Genomic DNA, 27,038 nt, shown 5'->3' with positions numbered 1-27,038 from the left:
TTTTCTTCTTTAGGCTATTTTGTAGATCCTATAGGCATGCTTCATTCTTTTTTTTTTCTTCTCTGACTGTGTATTTCCATGTAGCCTGCATTTAAGCTTACTAATTCTTTCTTCTGCTTGATTAAGTCTGCTGTTGAGAAACTCTGATGCATTTTTAAGGTTGTTAATTGAATTTTTCAGCTTTAGAATTGCTGCTTAATTATTTTAAATATTTCAATCTCTTTGTTAAGTTTCTCTGAAAGAATTTGGAATTCTTTCTTTGTGTTAACTTCAAGCTCATTGAGCTTCCTCAACACAGCTATTTTGAATTAATTGTCTGAGAGGTCATGTATCTGTCACTCCAGAATCGGTCACTGGTTCCTCACTTAGTCCATTTGGTGATGTTATATTTTCCTGGAATTTCTTTCTTTTTTCTTTTAAATTTTACTTTATATATTTTTTTGATTTTACTTTTTTCTTTTAAATTTTACTTTATTTTTACAGATGGGGTCTCACTCTGTCCAGCCTCAAACTCCTAGGCTTGAGCAATCCTCACACCTCAGACTCCTGAGTAGCTGGGAATACAGGCACATACCACCTGGCTAATATTTTGAGAGAGATGGAGTCTTACTATGTTGCCCAGGCTGTACTCTAACTTCTGACCTCAACAATCCTTTCACATCAACCTCCCAAATAGCTGGGATTATAGACAGGAGCCACCACATCTAGATTTGGATGTTTTTGATGCTTGTGGACATTTATCAACGTCTTGGCATTGAAGAATCAGGCATTTATTACAATATTCACAGTCTGGGCTTGTTTGTACTTATCCTTCTTTCCATGAATTCAAAGGAGCTTGAGTGTTCTGACTTAATCCTGTGGTCACTGCAGCTCTTTCAGCACGGGGGAGTGTCTTAAGCATAGGAACACTGTGGCTCTTGTAGACTCCTAATTACATAGCCTGGGGTTACCTGGAGGAGGGTGTATTATCTGGGATACCAGGCAAAGTCTCTTGCTCTCTTCCCTCTCTTTTCTCCAATCAGAAGGGATCTCTCTCTGCACTGGGCTGCCTAAAGTTTGGTAAGGGGTAATATGAGCATCTTCATGGCCACCACAGCCGACATGGCCCTGGGTCACATCTGTAGCCCATTGTTTTCCAGATCAGCATGGTACTAAACCTTGCCCAAGGCTTGTGGCCACTAATGCCTAGCTGCCACTCATTTTTATTCAAGGTCCTGGATCACTTTAAGCAGCAGGTGGTGAATCCTTCTTGGATTGGGTCCATTCCATTAGGGGAGCGAATTCCCAGGGTGGGTCTATAAACACCATGCAGGAGTAAAAACCTGGAATTGGTGCTTTATAAATCTGCTTGGTGATTTATTTTACTGTGTCGGAGTTTATACTCAAGTTTCAAGACAAAATCTTCTCTATTCTTTCTTTTTCCCCTAAAAAGGAGGCTGCCTGTGAGCTGCTCATCCTGCAATTGGGGGAGGGGTGATGCAGGCACTCTCAGGGCTGCGGGCTTCTGCAGCTGGTGACACTCTGGGTCTCACTCCATATCCACTGTCTCCAAAATCAGTGCAACACCAGGGCTTGCCCAGGGACTGCAGTCTCTGTGGCCTTACTGACACTGAAATTTATTTGGGGCCCCTGGCCACGTTAGTCAGCCCATGTTGAAACTGGCTGAGACTCATGTTTCCTCAAGTTAGGGTGGAGGATTCCTCTCTGGCCCAGTGTTGGTCTAAATGCTCCCTTTAAGTGTGCCAGCAGAATTCTGCCCTATGATAGGGTAGCACTGAGCTTTAATGCAAAGTCCCATGCTTACTCTCCCTCCCCAAAGCACACAGATTCTCTTTGTGCTGTGCTGTCTGGGCTTGAGGGAGGGGTCCTGTAGGCAATGTAAGACTGTCCTGCCTGTCCCCTTCAATGCCTCTTTCCTTGTTATTCTGTTACAGCCGGGTACTATGATTACTCATCTGAGTTTCTGGTTCCTATGAAGGCGATTTCTTGCATGGATAGTTGTTTAATTGGGTGTTCCTACAGGGGGGTGGTCACTATTTGGCCATTGTGCTCTGCTTCTCCTGTAGAATTACCTACGTTTATTATTGAAGAAAAATTAATAGATTTAGTGTAGTTTAAGTGAACAGTGTTCTAAAGTCTACAGTAGTGCACATTAATATTGTAGGCCTTTACATTCACTCGCCACTCACTCACTGAGTTGCCCACAGTAACTTTCTTTTCTATAAGCTTCATTCATGATAAGTGCCCTATGCAGGTGTTCCATTTTTTTATCTTTTATGTTCTATTTTTACCGTGCTTTTTCTATGTATCAATATGTTTAGATACACAAATACTGATCATTGTGTTACAATTACCTACAAGTATTCAATATAGTAACATGCTACGCAGATTTTAGGCTAAAAGCAATAGGCTATATCATATAGCCTGAGTGTGTTATAGGCTATACCATCTAAGTTTGTGTAAATGCACTCTATAATATCCCCAGGATGACAAAGTTGCCTAATGATGCCATTTTTCAGAACATATCCCCATCATTAAGAGGCACATGACCATATTTATATTCTGGTACATAGTAAAATCAACCTACAGTAGATGACATCTAGCACCTAGATATATTCTAGCAAAGCTATTATACTTTAAAACAAAGGAAAAAACATTCTTTGAGTATCCAGGCAAGAAGTTCAAGTCACTTATAAAGCAAATAAAATAAGACTGATATTCAGCCTTTTTATCTGTAATGTTTTGTGCCAAAGAAAACTATTAATACGCTTAAAGTTCTAAGGAAGAAAAAGCATAACAAAAAGATTTTATGTCTGTCTAAATTTACCTTCTAGTGTAAAGGTAGACTTTAAGAATATGTCAGAATGGAAGGAATACTGTTTCCATAACTCCTACCTAGAAAATTATCTGTAGAATATAAAAACAATTGAGCTTAAAATCTGGTGCTAAACATTGAATATATGTTTATCTATAGAGAAATGACTAACAGATATAAAGAAGACAATAAAGTATCTGTAGGTTAAATATTCTGACATTTTAGATAAAGTAACAATCAATAGTGGTTTACAAAATTAAGAAAGTGTATGGAAAGGATAATCACTTCACTATTTACTGATAATAACTGGGAGTGAAAGATATTACTTCAAATCAGATTTGTAGGGAGATGGGGGAGGGGAATAAAAATTCCCCAGTAAAATTTAATTTCATTTACAGAGGGAAACAATAGAACTTGAAAAAGTTAGAGGACTAAGGATATTCTTCAAAAGCATTAGTATAAATGTTATAAATATAGCCATTATTCTAGAATTGCAAAACTTTCTAAATACCAAAATATATGAGGAGAGAGAGAACAAATAAGTGACCACATAATGACATACCTTGTGTGCATAAAACATTAAAAATATAAGAGAATGGAGGCCAAATATATTAATTCTAGTGTAATGAAATGAACTTAAATCACCAGTAGAAAGAAAATTGTTTTATTGAATAAAAATGTAAAATCCAAAATTTCACTTTATATAAGTGACAGACCTGAAAAAACAACATTAAAAAGTGATAAAAATAGAAGGATGCACTGATATGTACTACTCAAATGCAATTGAAGTAAAGTAGGAGTTAAAATCTTGATATCCAAAAGTACAAAATTGATGCCAAGTAGATTATATAATGATGAAATATTTCATAAATTTAAAAACAATATTTCTCAGTGAAGCTGTAACAGCCATTAATTTTTATGCCAATAGTAATATAGCAGTGACTTTCTTTAAACACCAACTGCAGCTGCAAAAAGAACTGTACAAGGAAATTAATAAAAATAAAAATCAACACATTCTTCTTTAATCAAGGTGAATCAAGTGGACAAAAGTTTCATAAAGATATTGAAGTACTGAACATCTGTCATCAATAATTTAGATATTATATTAATATATTGAAACCTTAACCCAGATGATACTATACTTGTCTTAAGTACAGCAAAGTTATTCATAAAAATTCATCATTTTATACCACAAATGAAATCTTAATACTAAAAAAAAAAAAACTAAGAGCATTCTGTGAATTTTGAATAAAACAATAATTTGTAACAAATTTGAAAACAAAAAATTCTTCCACATGGTATTAAAATGGACAGTGTTAAACAACCCCGGGATCAAACTGGAAACAAATAAAACTACATTATTTCTCAAAATTAAAATGGGGCTTATCAGGATTTATGGGATACAGCTAAAGTAAGAATCAGAGAACATTTGACAGCATTAAATATATGCACCAATAAAAATTAGAAAAAAAATTGAATTAATATCATTTTTAAAGTTATTTTAAAACCAACAACATATTAAACCTAAAGAAAACAGGGAGAAGAATTTGAGGGAATTGTCACCTAAATTAGAGTGTACCTCAGCACTGTTTTACATTAGTGGACCAGAGCTGTTTAAATAAACAGTATTGCTGCCTTCATGGAACTTTCAGACGATTTGAATTTTAAAAAGGACTGGCTTGGAAAGGCAGGTTGATTTCTTTTCTCTCCAGAGTTGTGTTATGGGATAACAATTTGTAACACAATATGGTCACAGTTAGACTATACAAATGCAGACTTTATTACTGAAATATTTAAGATTTATATATAGATCTAGTATTTATTAACAGGTACCCAATAAATACCCCATTCTAATATAATTTCCTTATATTTATAGTTTACACTATATTTCAGTAATTTACAGTATGTTTCAGAAAACTAATTGTTTCTCTTTCCAGAATCTATTGAAATATTATTTTTTTCCGTGCATCCACATTTGTAAGAACACTGATGGATATGATGGTTTCTGTTTCATCAATATTAATTTAAAGCTGCTGAATATCCTTGGAGAGCTAATCAAGAAGGTAGAAGTTTTTCCACATTAATGTTGTCAAGTGACAGTAGATTTAAGAGGTAACGAGCACTATTTACTTAAAAAGAAAATGTTTTCCCTTATGCAATTACTGTTAGAAAAATCATTAGCCACAACAAAAGCTCTATGAGTCAGTTAAACATATGTCTCATTCTATAATTTATACTTCTTCTTAACAGGCTGTGATCCCTTAGGTCGAGATTACTTTAGAAATACAAAGAGGACCTTAAAACTAAATAATTTCTATTATAAAATGAACATGTAAATTATCTGCTAAATTACTTGTACTTAATTAGTAATTTTGCATAATGACATACATTCTCTTTGGGTCTCTTCAGGCTCCGACAGATAACACTTTACAAATGTTACTTAAGTTCCAATTACAGCACAAACCTTGTAGAAATGTACTATTAATCTAAATATGCAAACGTGAGCAATACTAGCATTCCTTAGACAAACTATAATTCAACATTTCTGCTAAAGGGTACCTTGGCTCATTTTGAATTCAATGCTTTTTATGTTATTGTTTCTTACTTAGAAACTAACAGCTATCCATTTTTAAAAGTTTGTAGGTGAATAACATAGTGTACAATTATTAGAGTTAGCTCATTTGACTTTTAGTGTAGAAATTCAGATTACAAAAATATTTATCTTCTGATTTAAATGCTGTGGTTTTTTGGTAGTTAACGATAAAATAACCATGGAAGACAGCTACTAGTACTATCACTGCAGTGTTCTGGCTGAATTGTTCTAATCTTGTCATAATAACTTTGGGTTTTAAATGATTATATGTAATTCACTTAGAGGAACAGTACATTTATTTCAAATAAAATGATGAAAATAAAAATTATTTATTTCTTTAACAAATATTTATTGAATAATTACAATGTATAGAGGATAGAGCAATGGGGAAGATAGACATAGATCTCAGAAGTTTACATTCAGACTGTGTGTATATGACAGTATGTTTTGTACATGACTCTGTGTGTGTGTGTGTGTGTGTGTGAACTGGGAGAGAAATAATGATTAGAAGTTGATTAGAAATAGATAATGTGTGTTGGGGGAGAGAAAGAAGGAATAGGAAAATAGACAACCTATTATCAGAGTTTGTAAGAAAAATAAAGTTATGTAATAGACAAATGACTTGAATAAGAAGTCTACTTTAAATATAGCCTTCCATTTTACACAGAAATATAAAATAAATTTTACATAGCTTTCAGGCCCGTCAAATTAAAGTACTGGATAAATTATATGGAGATTGTATTTTGCTTTCTTTGAAATGTAATCTAGAGTGGTTCAACATTTTGGAAAATCATGTCACCTCTGGCAATACCATTTGTGCCATATGAATTGTCATTTCAGCTTCTACACTGACATCACTAGCATCATTTTGTGATAGCATTTGTATAATAATGGTGATTTCGACTCTATTTAATAATGTTATATATAAAGAAAAAACATCTACAATATTCGGTTGAAGTTTTGCTATAGTGTTTTATCACTTTACCTGAAAATTAATATCATGAATGTAATCTACCAACTTCTTTTTCAAATTAAGCAACAAAAATGTTAAGATTAAATGCGAAGTTTAAAAAGAAGTACAGTAGCTCACATAATCCTGAAACTTAAGAAATTTAAAAAAATTTTAAAAATTAAAAAAATTCTACTGTCATTAGAATGTTTAAAAACACTTAAATTCAGAATGAGCAAGGTTTCTTTTATATATAAAGTACAAATAATGCAAAATATTAATATGATGAACCACACAACACTGGAGAAAAAAAAATCTTACCAGCCAAATGTGAAGTTTTAAAAGGGAGTAATTTATTCTTCTGATTGTCCAAAGGCAATGTTTATAGAGGAATCAATGAGAAGGTAAAATATTAGGTATATAATAAACTGCAAATCATATGTAAAATTCAAAAGGATAGGGGAGATGTTATTTATTTATTTATTTATTTTTTAAACAGAGTCTGGCTCTGTTGCCCAGGCTGGAGGTCAGTGGCAGGATCTCAGCTCACTGCAACCCCTGCCTCCAGGGTTCAGACAATTCTCGTGCCTCAGCCTCCCAAGTAGCTGGGACTACAGGCATGCGCCACCACGCCTAGATAATTTTTGTATTTTTAGTAGAGATGAGGCTTTGGCGTGTTGCCCAGGCTGATCTCAAACTCCTGAGCTCAGGCAGTCTGCCTAAATATGGATATAGGTAAGATTGAAGTAGAGTTTCTTATAAAAAATATTTCATAATATTTTATTTAAAGATACCAATTTTCTATGGAGTCAATGTTTCCTATAAGAATACATTTAAACTTTCATATAGATAATAAGATAGATTATCTTTACTGAGTGATTTTTCTTGGTTCCTTGATCCCAATTTAGCTCCTTTAGGGACGCGTTTCATTTATAAAGACAAGACAGGATTCACCACCTTCCTTTTTCCTCTTTGGAATTGTTTGAAATGTTAAAATCCTCTCCTAATTTATTGTGTAATAATCTTAGCTATGTAGCCTTTAAAACATGCAGAAAGTAGCAAAAGCTCATTAAGAATAAAGATATTTGTAAAGTGAGACCCTGTCTCTACAAAAAAAAAAAAAAAAAAAAAAAAAAACTAGGCATAGGGGCACATGCCCGGTAGTCCCAGCTACTCTGGAGGCTGAGGCAAGAGTATTGCTTGAGCTAGGAGTTCAAGGCTGCTTTGAGCTAACATCACACCACTGCACCCCAGCATGGACTACAGATCAAGACTCTATCTTAAGAAAATAAAAAAATAAAGAAAGAAAGAATAAATATGCTTGTATTTAAACAAAACAGAATACTGAATGTGGGGAGGAAAAGTATCCAAAAGTATACGGCCTTTAGCTAAGGTGACCCTTATTCACATTAAATAAATAATATCACGTGAACAATTAAATAAATTTTGAAAATAAAATCTTTCACTGTCAAACTCAAAATTGTGATTTGTTTTTGACTTAGAGTAAATATTATTTCTTGTAACCTTTATGGACATTTGCATGGAAAATATTCTTGGTCTATTGGTATATTTAAAATATATATATATATACACACATACTTCAAAAACCAGCATCTGAACATTATATCCAAGCATTAACAGTGATGACTCGGCAAACTAAAACACTATGAAGGCAGAAAGACAGAAGAGTGATGAATTTTATATTGCGATTAATACCTTATTTATACTCAATATGAAAGACACAGTACTAAAAAAATAGAGACAAGCTATAATGAAAATGAGTTGAAAGGAATTCTATTATGTTTGGATGTTTATCCCCAATGTGATGATCACTCTCAAATGTGATCCCCAGTGTTAGAGGTGGAGCCTCATGGAAAGTGTTTGTGTCACGGGAGCAGATCTCACATGACTAGATTAACCTTTCTAGTGTGAGAGTTGAGTGAGTTCTTGGTCTATTAGTTCCTTCCAGAGCTTGTTGTTAAAAATAAGCTAGCATCACCCCTCTCCTACTCTTTTGCTTCCTCTTTTACTATGTGATCTCTGCACACACTGCCTCCCCTTTTCCTTCTACCATGAGTGGAGGCAATCTGAGACCCTCACCAGGAGCAATTCTGATGCCATGCTTCTTGTACATACTGGAGAAGTGTCAGCCAAATAAAACCTTTTTGCTTTATAAATTACCCAGCCTCAGATATTTCTTTATAGCAACATAAAACAGACTAATGCAGTAAATCTGTACCAAAGGAGGGATGGTGTAAAGATACCTGAAAATGTGGAAGCAGCTTTGAAACTGGGCAATGGGGAGAGGTTGGAAGCGTTTGGAGGGCATAAGCTGTAAGCCCCTCTGTCTTCCACATGGTATTGAGTGTGCAGATGCCCAGAATGCAGGAGTGCTGGAGGCTTGGTAACATTCACCTAGGTTTCGGAGGATATATCCTCAGGCAGAAGCCTGCCACAGAGGCAGAACCACTGTAGACAGTACTCACCAGGGCTTTGCTTAGTGGAGCTGTGGAAATGGGGCCACTGCCTTAAATTTTATTAATTTTCAACAGTCAATTTTTCCATATATTTAAGAAGGAAATCTCCAAGATCTTACATGAAATTATTCAAAAAACCTAGAGTTACAATATACTTTCCTAACATACTTTATAATGTAACATATTCTTAACACTAAAACCTGAAAATAATATTGAAATATATTAATAGTCAATATCTCTCGTAGCTATAGAAGCTAAAAGCTTAAACAACAATATTATTATTCATTTTTATCAAAAGAAACATTAAGAAAAAAGAGTGTAAACCACAGGAGAAAAATAGTTACAATAAATATCTCTAACAAAAGACCTGATTTCAGATTATATAAGGCACTTGTATAAATCAATAAATAAAAGAATGACAATCCATTAGAAAATTGGGCAAAAAACTTGAAAAGCTGCTCAAAAATAATAATATCTAAATTGATATGGACATAAAATGGAAATTCAGTAAAAATATAAAAATATGTTACATTATTTTTTGCAAAAAATTTTAACTGATAATATAGTTTTTAATTTCATGATGGGAATTTACCAGGAATATTCTTATATTATAATAAGCTTTAATTAACTTACCATTTTACATATTTTTCTGTTGTCCAATTTTCCCTTTGTCATTTCAAAGTATTTTAAATTTGCTATGAAAATGGTAACATATATTATATTCTAGAAATACATGATAAAATTTTACAACTTTGATGTGTCCCCACTAATAGTTAATTCTATTCTCTTTATTTTGAGTTAATAAAATAAATAATTGGCAAAACATTAGAAAAGATAAGATGAAATGTACTATTTAAATGTAGGTATTCTGACAATTTTGTATGTGTTGATGGAGTAGATAGATATTGTTAGGATATAAATGACTTTATATTATAAGTTACCATTCTGAAATAAAATGATCAGAAAGAATATTTAATGAACATTGTTTATATCAGGAAAAGTTTTCCACACCTCTCGATTCTATTCTTAAGACATTATAATATGATCGTTTTGATGAACAACACCAACAAAAATTTAGTAAAGCAATATTTATGAAGTGCTGAGAAAATTGTAACCATGTTTTGGGATATAATGGTTAGCATGTGCAACTATGAGATTTTAATTTTGTGTTCTTTTTATTTTTTATTTTTAACCGTAATACATATACAGTAAAGTATGTAGTGTATACAGTGCTCCATGTTTTTAACATAAATGCCTGTGTAATCACAAACAGGTCAAGAACAAGGGATTGCCTGCCTTTCAGAAATTTATTTTATTTCCCTTCCGATTCTAGCCTCCCTTTCCCCAAAATAAGCACTATCTTGAATTCTAACACAATACTATACTTCTGGCTACTTTACACTTTATGTAAACTGAATTATATAGTATGTATTCATTTGGGTCTGACTTCAGTCACTTTACATGTTTGTGTAATCCATTCTATTTTTGCAAGAAGTTTTACTTCGGTTCATGTATTTTCATGGCTGTATCATGTTTCGTTTATTAATATACCAAAATTTGTATGTCTTTTTAACTGCTGATGGACATTTGAGATATTTTGAGTTTATACTGGCATAAAAAATGTTACTAAAAGCATTCTGGATAGTGAACTTGTTATGTATCTGCATGTGCTTCAATTATGTGAGGATTTAATTAATTAATCAAACTCCATTGCTAACTTTAACACAAATCCCATGAGTTGAAGAATGCCAAGGGTGGGGGAGGTTTCATATCTTGGATTGGAACGTGGAAAATCTTTGTACCAGGAGTCCAGGTGAACCTAAATAGCATGGCCATTATAGCATGATCTTTCTTGAAATTGGCTTAATCAAATTAATTGATCTTTTCATACACCCACAAAGTAGGAATCTAATTTTTTTAAAGTGAAATTTGCATTCTCTATCAAAATTACCTGCAATGTTATCATCACATGTATATTTGGCTCAAGAACTGAAGTAGAAATTAATACTACAGATATATCTGGATAAGTCAACAAAGACATACTCCATATTTATTAATTATAGCATTGCTAAAAATGCCATATAATATGCAGGGCACGGTGGCTCATGCCTGTAATCCCAGCACTTTGGGAGGCCAAGGCAGGTGGATCAAGTGAGATCAGGAGTTTGAGACCAGCCTGGCCAACATGGTGAAACCCTGTCTCTACTAAAAATACAAAAATTAGCCGAGCATGGTGGTGGGCGCCTGTAATCCCAGCTACTTGAGAGGCTGAGGCAGGGAGAATCGCTTGAACCCGGGAGGCGGAGGTTGCAGTGAGCCGAGATCGCGCCATTGCACTCCAGCCTAGGTGACAGAGTGAGACTCTGTCTCAAAAAAAAAAAAAGACATAATAAAACCAAGAACCAAAAATGATAAAAGAATAAAAGAACAGAAAACAGCAAAAATGGTCTGTCCTTAGTTACTGTAGAACCAAGCAGAACTGGTAAATATTCCTGGGCCCAATATGGGCTCCCTCTTCCTGCAATAGATATTGCCATGCCTGAATGCTAACCAATTAGCAGTAGAGAATAAACTTTAGCCCTAAGTATTGCTACCATCCCTTGAAAAGCTCACCTAGCCACTGTGTGATATATTGATTACATTGGATCCTTTTCACCCTTAAGTAGTAAATAATTTACCTATACTGGATTCATATATTCACATACTCTTTAAAGTTCTCCTTAGCTTGACTAAATTTTAGATGGATTTCTTTCTGACTATGAACACCTGACTTGCCTAGTCTTATAGCATTTGCTACGGAAACATTTCCATTGTGTATTCTTTTCCTGTCACTTTGAAATGTATGTAAATCTCCTGACCCTTGCCAGTTGTATAACCCAAGAAATGTCTTTTTCAAGGACCTGGGAACAATTTCTTTGAAATGTAAACATCAAAGGAGCTGCAACCCCTATCTGCTAATCTCCATGGGAGGGTAGGAGCCTGTTTTCAATGGGCAACGATTAGTAAACCGATAGCATAATCACAGAGAAAAATATTTAGAAACTCAGGAATAAATCAATGTGCTAGACACATGCCGTTGATCAACCCCAGCCTCAAAGTCCTCCAATATTTTTTCGCTAGTTCATTCCAGTGTTTAAAAGTTCTCCCATCTTTTTTACAGTGGAGTTCAGCTTCCTTTATTGCAATCTTCTTGAATTAAAAAGTCTTCTTTGCCTGTTTAACTTTATCTGGCTTAATTTTTGCTTTGACTTGGGAACGGGTATGTGTTTTCCTTCTCTTTCTGCAGTGCCTTAACCAGCAATTCTACTCAAAGGTTAACACATTGACTGATTAATTATCTTGAACAGTGCTTTGGAACAAGCAGTAATCAATATAGGAAAGGTAGTGCAACAATGAATAAAATGTCCCTAGAATCCTTTGGACTGAATATATTTCTGATACATAGAATGCCTATGCCTCAGTGTTTTCTCACCATTGTACCCAGTGATGCAATTGAGAATATTTTTGCTTTTTTGAGCAATTTTTGGCCTTCTGGACCTCTTCTAGGTCTTTGTTATGAGGGGAGGGACACTTTTACCCAAGAACATATTGAAGATACTACCAAAAAAAAATTATTCATTCAACTAATTTTGAGCTCCTTATGTCATTCAACTTATTTTGAGCTCCTTATGTCATTAAAACAGCACACAAAAAAGGAGTTAGTATACTGGCAGGGATAACAGACCATAATTTTTATGAGAAGGTGGGGTTGTTGCTGTGCAATGAGGGTAGAAGGAAATATGTCTGTAGTTAAAACAATTCCTTGGGTTATCTCAGTGCTTCCATTAAATCAAAATCTTAAATGGCAATTGCATAAGACACAATCTGACAAAGCAATTGGTAACCAAAGGTTTGGAAGCTTCAGGCATGAAAGTATAATTTGTCACACTGGGAAAGTACTCTGGACTAGCCGAACTGCTGACACAAGTTGAGGGAAATCTGATAGGAGCAGTAAAAGATGGATATAAAGAATATCAGCTGTGGCCAGACTCAGGACCCACTAAAAAAGCAGAGCTAAAGCTTGACCTACTCTCCATCATCCTGTAATTTGTTGGTTTTGTTTGTGTTTTAAAAAATTTTTGACCATCCCTTAAAAAGGGATATTCCATAAATAACATTAAGGGATATACCATGAATAACATTAAATAAACTATGAATTTAATTTAGAGCCTGAGGGGGTTCTGAGCAATGTAAGGTAAAGATAGGAGTATTCATAGCAAAGCCTTGCCCAAATACTTGGAATGGTTCAGTAAATTATGGCTAATTTCCAAGTATCAATCTCTGTGTTTCTGTGTCTGAGGACTTGTTCTGACAGCACAGAAGGCTGCTCTCTGTGCATTGTGAGTGCTGGGAATGAATGGGTTATGGAATTCACACCACTCTATGAGCAGTCTTCAAATAATCATCTTGGGAAATAATACATAAATATACCAGCTCCTGTGCCTCTCAAGTGAAATTATGAAGTGTGACTTTATGCCATTTTCCAGAGTTTCTCAATGGGACTAAGTTCCAGGTATCCACTGTGATAGCCGATTGTAATGCATCCTTTATGACTGCCTTTTCTTCCCTATCATTTTTCCACATCTCCAACAATGACATTTGAAATTCAAACCAATTAATTGCATTCAAACACTTATTTTAACATCTTCTTCTAGGAAAAAACAACAACAACAACAACAACACACACACACACACACACACACACTGTAATTTCTGAACATTGACTACCAAAAGAGGGGGTAATTCCTAAATCCTCATGTTATGGACAGTGGTAGTCATCTGTATAATTTGTTTTAAGATAGAATAGCATTTCAAGAGTAAATTGAATTTACTTGTCTTTCTTTTAGTTCATGAATATATGTAATGAATGTGTGGTTTATAAGTAAATTTATACAAATGTTATCTCCTATATAATAAACCCCTTGATTACACATTTGACTTCAGTTACCCAGATAAATTTCACACATCTCCTCAAAAATAAATATTAGCAAAATAGTTAATTTTTTTCATAGTTTTTGTAGGATCATCTTTAAGTTAAATTAAAGGAAGTTTAAACATCATGCAGGATTTGTTGATAAACATTGCCTTTACTTTAAATCCAAACTGAAACTAAGACTCAAGGGAGAATATTTTCTACTTATTATTTCTATAACATTTAAAAAATTAAAATTGACAAACAATTGAGTTCAAATTTTTAAATTTGGCCAACATGTGATTAAAAATACGAAACTATGAGTTGTTGCTTTCTAACACAAGCTGAAATTTGTAGTTCAAATATGAATGAAATAAACAGCCCAAATCAGTTATCTGAGAAATGCTGATGTATGGAAAGAAAGTGTATTATTTTGTTATGATAATGCTTTCCTTGTATTTCTATCAAGATAAAAATAAAGTACACTTCACTGATTGGATTAACATGTTTCTGGCTTTTGATAGTGACAGAAGACAGACAAATTCCTAAGTAGACAAGACTGGGACCCCAGTGAAACTCGACCTTCAAGCCAAGGGTAGTTTAAAGCCTGAAAAACTGAGGTGCCAGTTCCAGATACAGTCCATGACTTGAGTGAGAACTTCCATTGCCATCTTACTCACTCTCTCTAGATTGGTTCCTTCTGAATGATGCCTTGTAACCAATCAAATGGTGCTTTTTCCAAGACCACCCATGGACCAATCAGCACACACTGCCTTATTCTAAGCCCATAAAAACCCTGGACTCAGCCTCACAAACAACTATTGGGTACCCTCTTGATTCTGAGAGCTTTCTTTCTGTCACCCAATAAAATTCTACTCTGCCTTACTCACTCCTCAGTGTCCATGTACCTTATTCCTCTTAGTCACAGGACAAGAACCCAAAACTCACCAAACTGCAGGAGCAAAAGATCTGTAACACTCCTGCTTGCTGAGCTGCTGGCGGTGGTAGTAAAAGAGCTGAAATATTTCCTATTGCTTGTCAGACAACAAGAGAGAAGAAGCTGCTGGGTGCCATTTTTTCTCATTCTCCAAACTAAGGGAGTGAAAAAGCCATATCATTTGTATTTGATAAATTATTATTTTGTAATAATTTCTTATATAGAAAAAAACATTAAAAATCACTGTATTGAATTTTTTATTCAAATTGCATCTTTTATTCACTTTATATTTTTATTATTCTATCATAAGTAATATGGACATTAGACATGAGAATGTATAAACTTGAAATATAGATATTCTCATTATATTATTTTGCTAATAAATTTAGTATGTTAATAAATGATACACAAAGCCAAAATAAACCCAAAACAAAAAGTATCAGAATTTTGTTCAACATGAGTAAATAAAATATACATGTACATTTTACTAATTTTATTATCCAAATATAAAAGCATTTGTTTAATACAAAACAAATCCACAACTATATATTAATATCTTATAAAAGGATAGATACTGACTTGTCCATAACTGGATGTATAAATATCAAATTACCACTGCCATATTCAACACATTGTGAGGTGAGCATTTAGGACCATTTTTAAAATAATTTTTTCACTATTCAGTTTAAACTTTCAAGATTAAATGTTATCAAATGTCTAATAGCAGGGATATGCTTGTTTGATATAGTGGGTGTAATGAATATTTATTATAGGCCTCAAGAATTATATTGCCTGTGAAATTCTAGAAAAACATGTTATTTATTTTATATAAACATTTTAGAGAGTACTAGGAATCTTCTTTTCATCAATATTAGTGTAATTTTCTAGCAAGTCTCAGAGACCAAATGAAAAACTTTATTGTGGCCCTTATGTACTTTTCTCCCATGACCTTTAGAGACCTCTCTGATTATTAGCATAACATTTTCTCCCCTCTTAGGTCCCATTTACCCTTCAACAGCCTCATTTACATTTGACTTACTCACTCAGCAATACTGAAGAGCTTCATAGAAAGAAAATAGACTGTATATGGACAGAAAAACTAAGCAATAGTTCTAGATTTGTCTGTGTGTGGGAAGGGGGGTTTAATATCGTTATTTTCATTCATATCAACATCTTTCTGAGGCTTACCGCTTTTCTTTTATTCACTGTTCATGTTAGCCTAGATTTCTCATAGTTTTTATTTCCCAATCTTTTTCTTTTCCAAATAGGAGTAAAGTCTGTAATTAGTTTTATTTGGTTTCCTTTCTTTCTAAATCTTTTCTTACATTCAAACAGTATTTATTTATTGTTATAAATAACAGAATATCATGGGAATCATTTTGCTAACATCTTAAACTGACTGTCAGATAGGCTCATCAAGTCACCAGAGTGTAGTATTATTTTCAATAACAAAAACTGCAATTACTTTTGCACCAACCTATAATTAAGTACTAATTACACTCAGGAAAGACCAAGCAATTTACTTATTTGGGTCTGCAAACACTTGAACGTACTATAGAAAGTTACATCACTGATGTTGGAATCATTTCAGATAACTTCAGACTGCCTCCTTGCAGTTATTTCATGTTTTGTCCTTCACAAAAGTTTTAATTAGATGGATGAAAGTTGGCTCACAAATCATAAACAAGGAAAAAGAAGTCAGCATGAATTTTTACACAAATTAGGGCAGAATGATTCAGATTGGAAAAGGAAATAAATAACTAAAAAATGCATTTTAGATTAAAAATAATTTTAACGTAACTGAATTGAGATGTGCAAATATACTTTGAAAACTGTCTGATGAAAATAGATCTAAAGGCAAATCCTGAATAACAGCAGGGTCCCGAGTATAATAGAAAAGTCAATGAGAAAAATAATTATAGCTGTAAATCCACTAGTTTATAGTAGGTTTAAAGAAACATTTCTTTCATATAAAAAGACTGAACTGTTTTTTTTTTTTTTTTAACCTGGTAGGCAATGGCTTAGAGAAAGCTCATTAAGCTGTTTTATTTTTTTCTGTGTCCCTGCTTCAGTCGGATGACAATTTAATTATGAATATGATGATTTATGACATCAATAGATACATATTAAAAGTAAATTTGTGTCTTTTAAAGTGTAGTTTGTAAAATGGATTGGTTTGATGGTGGGTGATAAATACACAGAGATTATTTAATAGATGTGTTTGCCTATTGAAAATCCAAGTAAAGATTGTATTTCATGTGCTAGAAAATAGATAGGTATAGGGAATAATGATAAGGAAGTTAATATTTTGCCTACCACAATTGTTCAGTTGAACTTCTTTCTTTCTTTTGCAAAGGTATTGCTAGCTTGTGTCAACTGATTCTGATGGTCAAATATTTTTATAAATACCTTCAGGAGAATTTCATAGTGATCTTAAAAACTACAAAGAAAAAGGTACTATAACAAGTTTTTAGAACAAGTAAGTCTTGAATTCTGATATGACATGGCATCCAAATCTTGTACTATTTCAGCCTTTGACTGAGTGGTTACCTTAAGGGATTAAGGCATATGATCTTTTCAAAATAAAATCAATTGTCATCAGAAGATCTATTTTGCACATTTCTTTTAGAACATTTCAGTTGTCATAAGTAAAATATGCAGGTGAAATGTATAAATAATAAAAGTAGAGACATTAAAATCCAAGCCTTTCTATTTTCATAGTGGTAAAAAACAGAGATCACTATAAAATAGAAATTTAGCCATGTCTGTAAAATTCCAGGAAAGTAACTAAAGTTACTTTAAAAAGTTTCATTTATTTATCATAATTATTAAAAACGTTTGAAGTTTTTCTTATAATTTAGGTGATTAATACATATTGTTCTTATAAACTCTAATTGGCTTAGAACTGAGTTATGGGGAAATTCTGTAGAATTTTATTTCAATTTACTTTATGCCAATAAAATAAAATTCAACTTCAGCAGAAATCTACAGTATGCTCATGTATTAGAAGAAAATTATTACGAAGATATGCCTTTATCTTAATTTTGTGTATTAACATAAGTTCCCTAAAATTCCAAATGAGTATTTATTAATATTGAAAAATATCTTAAAAATCTATGTGAAACAACAAATAAGAAACAATGACAAAGCAATTTAAACAAGAATATAATATATATGAATATAATACATATGAATATATATACACAATTACATATGTGCATAAATATTACATAATATGTATTTGTGGTATAAACATAGTTAATATAGTAAATATTACATATGTACACACATAATATTTATTATATTTAGTATGCTTATTATTAAGATATTATTAAGATATATATCTTCTCAATAATATCTACAATGTATCAATACAATAGAATTTTTACATAATAGTAAAATAGTACAATAGAGCTTGTCATACAAACTCTGAGGTTTTATAATATATATTTTGAGGGAAATAGTCATGCATTTCATTCATTCGTGTGTATAGTTTCTAAAATACCAGGAGGTTTGTAGTATTTTATGGTGAAAGATTCCCTTACTGCCATGTAAAGAGTTCAGTGAACTGTGCCAAAAAATTATGTCAAATTGATAAAGAGAGAGCCACTGACTAGACTAGACAAGGCCCCATATCCACGGCTCCACAAGGACGGAGATAATAGAAGTAGAACCAACTGGGAAGAAATACGTTAAGTGCTATTGCAAAAGCTTTATGCTAGCTTGTCATTTCTTTTATATAAGTGTCTTTTCATTATTAAATTTTTCCTGTCTGCACCAAAACTTCCTGCTGAAGGAATTCTTACTGATTCAGTAAGAGGTATGTTTGAGTGTTCATATTAGAAACACTAAATTCCTTCTTCTAAGTCCTCCTGCAGTTTATATATCCCTTAATTACACCAATAATCATTTGGCAGGCAGTATTTTTAGTTGTGGACATGTCCTATATGTCTCATTAGATTGTATTTCTTGACAACACGGAACATGTGATATTATATTACACATTAAAAAAAATTTATATGAGGCATAGAATATTTCCTTATAAATACTACAAGACCAATAGATGTTTCTTTAGTTGTGCTATTTTTACATATCAATCCTAAAGGCATCGGATACATTTGTCACTTTTGATAACTGCCAACTAATTAATATTTTTATGCATATTCTTCACAGAGTTCCCACGGATTTATAAGAAGGTTCGACTATGCTTTTCCCGGATAAAACGTGTCTCTTTCCCTTTCATTGCCATCTGCTGGATGACAATCCTTTATTCTGATACAGTCATCTTTACAAATGACTAACCAAAGGTCTGTTTTGAAAGATCAGCAGAAATAGGTACTGTGATTATAATTTTAAAAAATTACAGTGTTTTTTAAATCAATGATCTGTTGTTGCTACTGCCCAAGAACTACTAATCTTTGAAAAACTTGGGACTACTTAGTTCAATTGATATTTCTGAGAGCTTCCTGTGCCATATAGGCATTTTTTTCTCATTTACATCTCACTATTCATTTATTAGAAATTCACTTTTTTTCCTCTGCATAAACATGAAATACACCTTTCAATCCATATTGTGTATCTTTTGCTTTTACGAAGGCAGTCGTCAGTGTGAGGAAAGACAGATAAGCCAGACAGTTATTTTTCAAAGAAAGAAGTGACAATCTTTTGTTCTGGAATGCTATTTGCATTTATGAGATTTTTTTATGTGTCTATCAGACCTAGTTAGCAGTACAGTGCTCAATGTTTCAGAATGTGCCTGCATTTTCCATCCTTGATGACCTTTTGACATGGCCTCTATGTGATTTAAAGGAAAGGCTCTCAATCTCTCCATCACCCCAGTGGCTGACATTTATAAATATATGAAAATATAGAAAAGATAAAAGTGAAAATTAAGGATTTGTGCAGTGAATTTTGGAAAAGGAAGATAATATGAATGAATAAGGCTTAATAGCTTTAAGATCTAAACATTGATTAGGAAGCCTGTAAAACTTTAACAATAACAAGACATTAATTGCCTGAAACATACAGATTACTCACCTCTAAATTCACCAGACATTAAAATATTATAATTACATATAATAGTTATAATATAATATATAGTTATATGTATTTTACATATATATAGAAAGAGATCTATTTACTTTCTTTTTCTCATCTTTGAAAACTATAGCTCATCAAGGTGATGAAAGGAAGCATACTTTTTTTTTTCATTTTTATCCAAGTTTGTGCTTTCACTGTTTGGTAGCTTTATTACTGGGAATAAATTTTGCTTACCAGTTCTCTCTTTTCTACCAGATACATTTCAGAAAAGCCACAGGGAGTAGTTTGCATCCTCTGTCCACAGGGGTGGTGGTACTGGTTCTTTTGGAACTGCATGACTTGGACTATCTACAGTTGTAGTAGTTTCATAATTGCCTATTTTCAGGAAAAGCATATCATTCTAAGGGTTATTTTGTACTGATTGTACAATGTAGTTTTCCATTAGCTCATTCTCTGGTTGTATGAAAAATGAAGTAAATAATTTTATTCTAGTTTTCTTCCTCATGAATAAAATTTGCACATCCTAATTTCAAATCTATACATATTTGTTTTACTGCAAATTTTCAAATACTTATGATAGAATCAAGTATTATACACTGAAGCAGAATGAGCCCTAAGAAGATTTAGGAAATCTGGGTCATGTTCTAGTTTAATCTACATTTTTTTTCCCTAAGGACTTATTTTATTTCCAACAATCAATGGTCACATATCCACTACTACCATCCAGTCACCTTGCAAGTGCATTCCATTGTCCAAAACTATGCTCAACATAATCAAACTAGTCAAAACTCCTACATATCTTTACAAATAGGAGCATATACATATTGTATCTCCTATAAATTATGTATAAACGTAGATCAGGGTTTGAAAATATTCAATTTGATTAAAAATCCCTACATTTATCTACTCTTATGTGAGACAACTAATTAAGCAACATTTTACTAACATTAATTCCACCCTACCTTATTATACATTACAGTAATAAAAACAGTAAAGCCAGTATGGCTGACAGCCATCATCGTGTGCTACACACCATCCTATTTTAAATGTATAAATGGTTATGAAGGCATGTCATATAAAATTGTATAAATATTTGATGAGAAATTCATTTAAAAAACAATTCTTTATTATACAAATATTAGAATGTCACCTTGGACTTCAGTCTCCCAAGTTATTTTTTAATTTACTTTTATTGCATATATTTAAGGTATACATCATGATGTTTTGATATATGTATATATAATGAAATAATTACCAAAGTCAAGCAAATTACCATATCCATCATCTTATATAGTTACTTTGTGTGTGTGTGGAAAAGGTACTTAAAATCTATTCTCATAGTAAATTTCTAGAATACCATCCAATACTGTTAGCTATGGTCTTCATGCTTTAGGTTAGATATTTCAGTTTATTTATTCTACGTAACTAAAACTTTATATTCTTTGACCACAGGGGTCTGAATAGCACTTCAGAAAAAGTACCAAAATAGCTTACAGAAGCTTTTGCTACTAAAATTATCTATTTCATTTTAAACTCCCTTATGAACCAAATAACAAAATTAATACAATGAAAAATGTATTATTTTGTATGCTTCCTGTTTAAATGCATCACCATAAACAATTTCTGGTTGTCCTGCTACTATGACTGAAAATGCACTATTTTATGGGAAACATCCTTCATTCTCAAGAGATCAAATATTCCATGTTGCAAAAATGCTAGATAAAATTATTTGAAACTTTTCACACCATAGCAATTTTGTTTGGGCCTAGGTGGAAGGATCACTTGAGGCCAGGAGTTTGAGACCAGCCTGGGCATAGCAAAGTGTTGTCTCTCCAAAAAAAAAAGTAAAAAAATAAAAGAATGAATGTTAAGCCAATAGAACATTTCTTGTAAAACATACTTTTGCACCTTAATTATCTATGACTGTACATGTATCTATTTTGTTTTACTTAGATGACACTTGAAAACTAAAATAGACCTTATTTGGAAGCATTATTACAGAGTATAGTTATGAAATCTGCCCTTTGATTAATGAATAGGTCCAGTGTTTTAGGTCTTGTAGCTGTTTGTGACTACCTTTTCACTTATAAGCTGGTTGACACATTTGTTCAATTACAGCTACCTTGTTTCTAATTGCTACATGTCACTTTGATTGATTGTTGTCAGTTTCTAGCAGTCAGCAACAATGCTTCATTGCTTCATGTCACGAATCAGTACATATTTACTTGATTTCTCCTGCCTACCAGAAAGTGGCTGCTTGGAAATTCTATTATCATGAACCAATCATTATCTAGCTCAGTTGATCTGAGATTGAATACATATCACTTCAAGGTTAGGGATCTAAAGTAAGTAGGTTTAAAATTCATATTTTCAAAGCTAACTAAATATTGGACAGTTAGCACATTTTAGTTGAATTGATAAAACATATTCTAAGAAGAGTGTATTTGTGAGCCTTTGTGTTGAGTCACTTGCTTTCTTTGTATGAAGTATTTCTCTACAGGACTTTTTTAGGATTTAATGATATTGTAAATGAAATAGGCTTGACATATAGTTTGCCATACATTAGGTGCTTAGTGAAACCTATTTTCTTATTTTCTTTCACTAGCTGATATTAGTCAGTTTGAATATTTAGACAATAGAGATTTGATATTGAAAATCCAATGTCTGCAGCAAAGTTAGTTGTAGTATGAGCACAAAGCTGATTCAGAAATTTATCATAATATCTTCCTTGAAAAAGAGTTACAGCTCTTCAAAGGGCAAGAGGACTTTATTATTTATTTTAAAGGACACATATTATTGAATATACATAATAGGTTATAGAACACATTACTTACACATGTATGGGTTTAAATGTAGCTTTATAATTTCAAAAAAAATTAAAATTAGAATGCATAATAAAATTGAGTATCATTTGGCCACTGGAAAATACATACAACTCTAAAGCAGTGAATTCTAGATCCCCTACCACTGAAAAAGCATTTATATAAAAAGAAAATATTAGGTGAAAAAGTCCCAAAATGCTTCACCTATACTAAAATGAACAGTAATTAAAAATAGTCCTCCTTTTTCATGCATAAAATTATTAAGTAATCACTAGAGTTACTGATTGAGAGAAAAAAGACAGAAAGTTTTTCTTTTTTTGCAAATGACACTTAGATATCCCAATAATTTGACTTCCAATGAGAATAACTGAGTTGTAAGAAAAGGGATAATTTCCTTTCATTTTATTTTTCTTCCCAATTGATCAGGGTTCTTAACATTAATAAATGTGTAATGAGTAAGTGTAGTTATTCTCATTAATATTCTAGTACAAAATATTTTTACTAGGTTTTGGTAATAAGTCAGAAAGTAGATAGGGCAACATTATTTTTTAATTCAGGTATCTAATTTTAAAAGCTGATTTTTTTTAAAGATGCAGACTTTAATGCTGTTTTAGATGTAGATTTTCATAAAACATTTTAAATCTTAACTCTTTGAAAATGGAAGCATCCACCATGCATATACTGGCTTAGATATCATATAAATAAATGGAAAAATACTTAGAGTAGTGGAATGGGTACAGTAATGGAATTTCTCACATATGGGCTCAAATCCCAGTTCTGTCCCTTGTTAAGTGAGTAATTTGGGAAATGTACTTAATAACACAAAAGCCATATATTTTATAATATTTTATAATTAGAGAAGATAAATTTTGTATAATGGGTATCAGTAAAGGCTTATTTCTTCATTATTTTAGAAGGACAGGGTTGGAATTCTAGTTAAGAGGTTTGCATAATAGTCCATTATAGAAAGAATGTAGGATGGAACTACGAACATACAGTTCAGAGACAAAAAATATCAAGAGCCATCAAGGTTTTCTCGGCTTAGAATTGATGTACTTTGATGGCTGATTGGATTTTTAGAGGAGCAAGAATAAGGAATAAAAAAGAACTCCAGGGTTTTGAATTTTTGTGACTAGAAAAACTGTGATATCTTCAGATCAGCATAAATAGAAAGCTGATTGGAAATTCAGGTTAAGAATGCCGTTTGAAACTAGTCTCGGTATTTGACCTTCCTGAAATCCAGTGAAATAAGCTAAACATGGTAAGATCAAATGAAATAAAGCAACTCAAGTGATAATTTTAAAAAGGAGAATATTCTAATCTCTTATACTTGTAAACATTGGATTTCATTGTAGAAGATCCTTGAGTAAAGGAGAAGTATACTTCTCTACTCCTTGGTAATATAGAATTGAGTTTACAGTATCCCAGATTCTTATTAATATTATTTCTAAATCTGGAGAGAAACATATCATTTGCTTTTTCATTTTTTGTTAAGAATTAGTGGAAAGAACTTATGCAAATATGTCTGTATACTGGGGAAAACAAATGAAGGAAATTTTTGTTTTTTCCTGAACAAGGTAAATCCTTCAGGGCTATTCTTAAACTGGGTAAATAATTGAGATCACATAAAAATTGGTCTTCCTCCCTTGCTCTTGACATTTATGAGAATGAACTCCAGTACAGATATTTTTACAACTATCAGAAGAAAAAGCATAGCCCATTTGTTCTAAAATAGACCACAGCGTTATCAACACAACTAAGAATTTTCACCTCCTCTCATCATCCGTTCTAAGGGATACTTAGCCTCAAACTAACTATAGCTCAGAGGAGAAAATAAACTGTCCTCAGTGGGAAGGATGACAAGAATTCTTACATAGTCAGAGCAAATTTCAGTGTCAGACAATTTGAACTTTAAAATTAGAAAGAAAAATAAAGAGAAGATAAGCCACTAAAAATCTAATCACTGTCACAGTGGAAAGGCTTGAGATGATCATAGTCGCTGCAAATACATTTAAAAACAAAACATTTAAACAAATAAAGGAATATTGTAATATATTTCTAGAATGCAGATGTCCAAAGTGAACAATAGAATTTTCTTAAAATGAAGAAAAACTGCACATAAATATCTAAAAAGAATCCTAAAGAATATAATAAAACTGAGAAATTTAACAAATGTAAAGGAAGTTAAATTGTTAAAAACTCTAACAAAATTGAGATTGGAGAAAGAAAAAAAATATTTGGCAATCCAGGAAGGAAAACAAATTGCTCCATGGGTAAAAATTATCATAGTTCTTTCAAATCTCTTTAAAAACAAAACAAAACAAAGCAGACTAACAGAAGGAATGTCAGAAGACAATGTGACAAAGTCTACAATGTCTGAAGGAGAAAATACCTTGAAAAGTTTATAACCAGTATATGGGCCTTGCAGGAATAAAATAGACTGAATGACTGGCTCAACATGAACAAGCTCAATAAATACAGCACCTCTGTGCTCTTCTGGGTGGGATGGGAGATTGTCTACTTAACCACTACATCTATTCAGATAAAAGATTAATTAAATATTGAATTTGGTAAAGCTGTGGTTGTGTTAAAGAACTAGTGGTAAGGTTTGAATCTATACTATTTCTCTGCAATGATACTCAGTGTTCCTGATTTGGGTCATGGGATTCGATCTGATATTTCCCTTTTATCCTCATACTTTTTGAAATGCTTCAAATATTTATAATGGAAAGATGCTATTTTTATAAAAAATAATTGAGGAGTTATGCTTAAAAATAAAAAAGTGGTAAAAACCATACCACAGTACTTGTTGTGATTCAATCGAGTGATAGGGAAATGGGTATTGTACTTTTCTGCTGTGTTTTATTTTATTTATTTATTTATTTTTGAGACAGAGTTTTGCTCTTGTTGCCCAGGCTGGAGTGCAATGGTGCTATCTCCGCCCACTACAACCTCTACCTCCCTGGTTCAAGGAATTCTCCTGTCTCAGCCTCCCGAGTATCTGGGATTATAGGCATGTGCCACCATGCCCAGCTAATTTTTTGTATTTTCAGTAGAGACGGAGTTTCTCCATGTTGGTCAGGCTGGTCTCAAACTCCCGACCTCAGGTGATCTGCCCGCCTAGGCCTCCCAAGTGCCGGGATTACGGTCATGAGCCACCATACCGGCTGTGTTTTATTTTAAGAACATCCAAATTTTTTTCAAAAATTAGTGGAGGATATGTAAGATTGAGTTGTCTTTAATATACTTTAATGGAGATGCTTATCAGGCATTTGGGAACATGAAGTTCAAGATGTGAGATGCAGATTTGATAAACATTTGACAGGAAGTGAAAATGGAAGAAAGGGGGTAAAGACTGTTTCAGAAAGTACCAGCAAAGGACAATTTGAGTATTTGAGAACAGAGACCTAGGTCATTGCTGCATTTAAGAAGCAGATGGTAGAGCAAAATCAGAAAATACCAGAAAACTTGCTCACTTACCCCTTAAAATCATGAACAGAAAAAAATCATAAACGGTAGCAGAGCAGCTTGTTTTTCTAATGTAATGTATTTTCTACATCAAGGGAATGTATTTCTTCTTTATTAATTAGCGTGTCTTATCAATGATTAGCCTAATCTATTGAGGTTCAGTAGGGCAAATTCCCTTTTTGCAAACATTTTATTGTTTAGTATATGTATTAATTCGCTAGTTCTCGTTGCTTTCTGGATGGTGTTCTTTGCTTCAATAACTGTTTAGAGTATTAAATTTAACACACAGATCTTTCTTCTATTGATTTCTGGTTCCCACACTTGAAATTCCAAGTTCTGCCCTTGAATTTACTCCCACTCTGTTATACTGGGTTCTCAGTAAATTTATTCAGCTCACTCTCAATCCAGTTTCCAGCAGGAAATTGAAGACACAAGAAAGAACCACTTTCTGTTTGTTTTCATATATGTAGATAAAGTATACCATATTTGTATTATATATTTTATTTGATATGTTTAAATACATAATATATTAAATAAGTTTTACATCTAAAATATATATTATATATTACATTTATTTATTTATATATAAAATTGCTATTTTGGCTGACTAGATTATAATAATGAAGATGAAATAGATTGTATTGTATAAATTTACAGCTCACTTAAACTTTAACTAACATTCTCTGTTTTAGTTATCTAAACATGATATGCCACAAATTGACTTAAGATTTTATTTAAGAGTGTATTTCCTTTAAAAAAATTACTTTGCTTTGTTTAGTAAAAAGTCCTTATTAGATCTGAACACATCTAAAACTATCTGATGTCTGTTATATTGGTTTTTAAATACAGCCATTTTATTACTGAAATCATCCACTTTTTTAATCTAAGTTCTTACATAACAGATAAATATATGCAACTAGTCATTATATTAGGATACATTTGTTTTACTGTTTGGAAATCAGACTAAAATTTAAAGTAGCTTTTAT

General features: G+C 32.5%; 1 protein-coding gene across 10 annotated transcripts in view; it reads left to right on the top strand.

Moving 5' to 3' along the window:
* Positions 1 to 27,038, top strand: part of PABPC4L (poly(A) binding protein cytoplasmic 4 like) — a 253,443-nt gene that overhangs the window by 40,597 nt on the left and 185,808 nt on the right. Inside the window, exon 3 of one of the 10 annotated variants that reach the window (XM_047449600.1) lies at positions 4,753 to 5,736. The exons of the other annotated variants lie outside the window; for them this stretch is intronic. The gene's annotated coding sequence lies outside the window, so the exon portion shown is untranslated. Of the gene's footprint in view, positions 1 to 4,752; positions 5,737 to 27,038 lie in introns of those variants that run through there. 10 annotated transcript variants of the gene reach the window in all.

This window comes from Homo sapiens, chromosome 4 (genome assembly GCF_000001405.40).
Source record: "Homo sapiens chromosome 4, GRCh38.p14 Primary Assembly".
Taxonomy (NCBI): domain Eukaryota; kingdom Metazoa; phylum Chordata; class Mammalia; order Primates; family Hominidae; genus Homo; species Homo sapiens.
The sequence above is the reverse complement of the archived record's forward strand: the minus strand, read 5'-3'. Positions and strand labels throughout refer to the sequence as shown.